Source organism: Homo sapiens, chromosome 13 (assembly GCF_000001405.40).
Source record: "Homo sapiens chromosome 13, GRCh38.p14 Primary Assembly".
Classification (NCBI taxonomy): domain Eukaryota; kingdom Metazoa; phylum Chordata; class Mammalia; order Primates; family Hominidae; genus Homo; species Homo sapiens.
Genome location: NC_000013.11, coordinates 27,772,118 through 27,774,914, shown reverse-complemented (window position 1 = coordinate 27,774,914; position 2,797 = coordinate 27,772,118). Strand labels below are relative to the sequence as shown.

General features: G+C 51.4%; 1 annotated feature.

The window, feature by feature from the left end:
• Window positions 364–413: an enhancer, noted in NCBI's record as "active region_7509". NCBI's record gives its function as "activates an Ori minimal core promoter by ATAC-STARR-seq in GM12878 lymphoblastoid cells {active_cell/tissue: GM12878}" and the evidence as "EXISTENCE:reporter gene assay evidence [ECO:0000049][PMID:35858748]".

The window sequence follows — 2,797 nt, the reverse complement described above, 5'->3', positions numbered from 1 at the left end:
AAGGCGGTGGGGAACTCATCTTGGGCAGCTGGAAATACAGCCCTGAATGCTTTCACTTCCACATCCACTGGTGCAGCTATGGTTTCCACTGAGCCCCTTAAAAGAGAAAACTTGAAGTTGCAAGCATGAAGCTAGCCTTGGGGACCAAAAAGTTCCTCCACTCTAGGCCAGACCATCTAAGTCCAGATCATCCGAGGCCTAGTTATCTGGCATGGGGTGGGGATGGGGTGTCCTTCAGAAGCAAGGGCCATGAAGAGGCAGCTGTTTCCTCCAAGGGACTGCCAGGTGCAGGTGCTTGAGACTCACTGGGAAGAGGTGGGGCTGGAGGGACCGTGGTACTAGCAGGGGAGCTAGAGCTGGGAGGCTTAGATTCACACACAACTGCCTTCATCATTCATTCACTCACTCACCAGCCAGCCACTTGGCATTGTGCTAGAAGCCGAGGTAAGGCAGAGTTGAGTAGGACACCATCTCTGCCGACATGGAGGCTTGCATGCGTGTAAGAAAGAAAGGCAGACAGTCCTCACATGGGACTGTGGGGGCCAAAAGAGGATGTGAGAAGCTTCTTGGGGGAGGTGATTCTTGAGCTAAGACTCAAGCAATGAGAAGGTGTTTGGGTGGACGATGCGAAAGGCATCTCGGGCTGAGGGGCGGGCTGTGATCGAGGCATGGAGCAGAAACAGCCTGCACTTTGGGAAAGATGGCTGGATCTGTGTTTTCCCAGCCACTTATGCATGTGTGGCCCTGAGCAATTTCTCTGAGCCTTGGTTTCCTTATCTTCAAGATGGGCATCTTATACTCCTCTGATTGGACTGTTGGGAGGACTCCCCAGGACAAAATAGAAAAACTCCTGGATTGGAACCCTGGCATCAGCAGCATGAGGTCAGCACCTGCTCCCTTCCAGCACCTCAGGACTGGCCAGGCCCCAAGGCCCCACAACGCTGGTGCCCCTCCTCCATTTAGTCACAGTACAGTGGCTGTGACGTGACACAGGGACCACTGTGCACGTGTTGGCTGGTGATTTAGAACTGGGCTGCTCTTCTGTTCCCTTCCTTTCCCTTCCCAGTTTTGCCACTTCCTGCCCTTTCTCCTTGTTTGCAGAATCTGGCCCTCTGTCCCTGGCCCAGTTTTCCAGCCTCAGTTCTCTCCTCTGCAAATGAGCTCCTCCAGGGCTATTGTGGCACTCACAAGTCACACTAGGTGACTTCTAGCAGTCACCTGTTTCTGCAGGTGAAAGCTCTTTGTTCACTGCAAATCACCGGAGAAAATCTCTCGAGGCCTGTACTGTCCCATGAGAACATCCAGGTTGCAGGTGGCGTGGGGTTGCAGGGGTGGTGGTTTAGGAGAAGGTGAAAGGGCTGCAGGTCTGAGGGAGGGAGAGACTGGAAGTGGAAACGTAGTGGTTGGCCACTTGTGTATTTGTGGATCTTGATGTGTGAAGGGTGACTGGAAAGCTGCTTTGCTGTGTTCCTGGCCATCTTCCTTTGTTCTGTCCTTGGGTTGGGTGGAATCAGTGATCATCACTTTGCTTGTTGGAAGCATTGTTATCCTCAGGTCTCGGTGCCCCACGGGTGCCCCAGACGCTCAAGCTAAATGAAGCCCAAGGAAGCCTTGCCTGAATACAAAATTCTGTCTGAAGGAAATCTTGGAGATAATGTGTTTACAGGAGTGTCTGTGGGTGGCGGACAGAAGCAAGTAAGCTCCCGCATCAGCTGGGGGTGCAGCGCGGAGCCGTTGACAGAGCTGGGTCCCTTGGTGCACCCGCAGCAACCACATGTGTCTGTAGTTTGTTCTGAGGGGCTGCCAAGCCTTTGGGGCTGACCCAGTGATGCTCTCACACCCTTCTCATAGGCCGCCTGGGGTGAGCAGCTGCTCTGCTGTGGTGAAGAAACCTGGGGTTACAGTTGTTCAGATATGTGGTCAGGAGCATGTCCTGACACTTATTACCAGTGTGACCTTGAGCAAGTCGTTTATCTTCCCTAAGCCTAAAGCAAAGCTAAAAATACTTACCAGCCTTTCACATGGGGTTGTTACAAAACTCAGATGAAAGGACGTGAAAATGCTTAGTAAGCAGAGTCTCTGAACCACTGTGTAGTTCCAGGATTATTATTTGTTCCATGAGGGACTGACTGTTCATAATTCATGACAGGACCCCCGATGAGGAAGCCTGAGGGCTGGGCCTGGAAAGACCCTCAGTAGCTGCACCAGTGCTCAGAGAGGACCCTGTCTGGGTTCAACAGATACACTTTGCCCTGGTCGGTGACCCCTGCACCAGGTCGGTGACGTCCTGAGACGTGCAGGCAAATCCATTTTAGGGTGGCCAGCAGCCCAGTCACCATGGCCAAGGGCTCTGGGGGACCTTTTGGGCTGGAACCAATGGCTAGTGGTCTTTAAAGGGTCCAGGTTTGTGACGGGAGTGGAACAAGCTCACAGATGGGAAGGCTGACCAACTTCTACAAGGCAATCGCCACCAAAGTGAGTCTACCCGTGACCAGGATGTAGCTGGTCTTCTGCTTTGAAGAATCAGAAATTTTATTTTCCTTCAGAGTTAATCAAACCTAGGGGCGTTCTGACTCATCTTAACAAGATCACGACAGGCTGATGCATAAAACTAGCTAATTTACAATGAGAAGGTAGTGGTCCAGTTGACCAGATAAACACACATGGTTTCACATTAGATAAGCTATGCAAAAAGCAGATTTGTCAGAATTATCAGTATTCCAATTAGAAAGTTATTTAGCAAGCTTGGGATAGGAGCACAGGAAGTTGGTTAGATGGGTTAACAATGGTAGTAGGC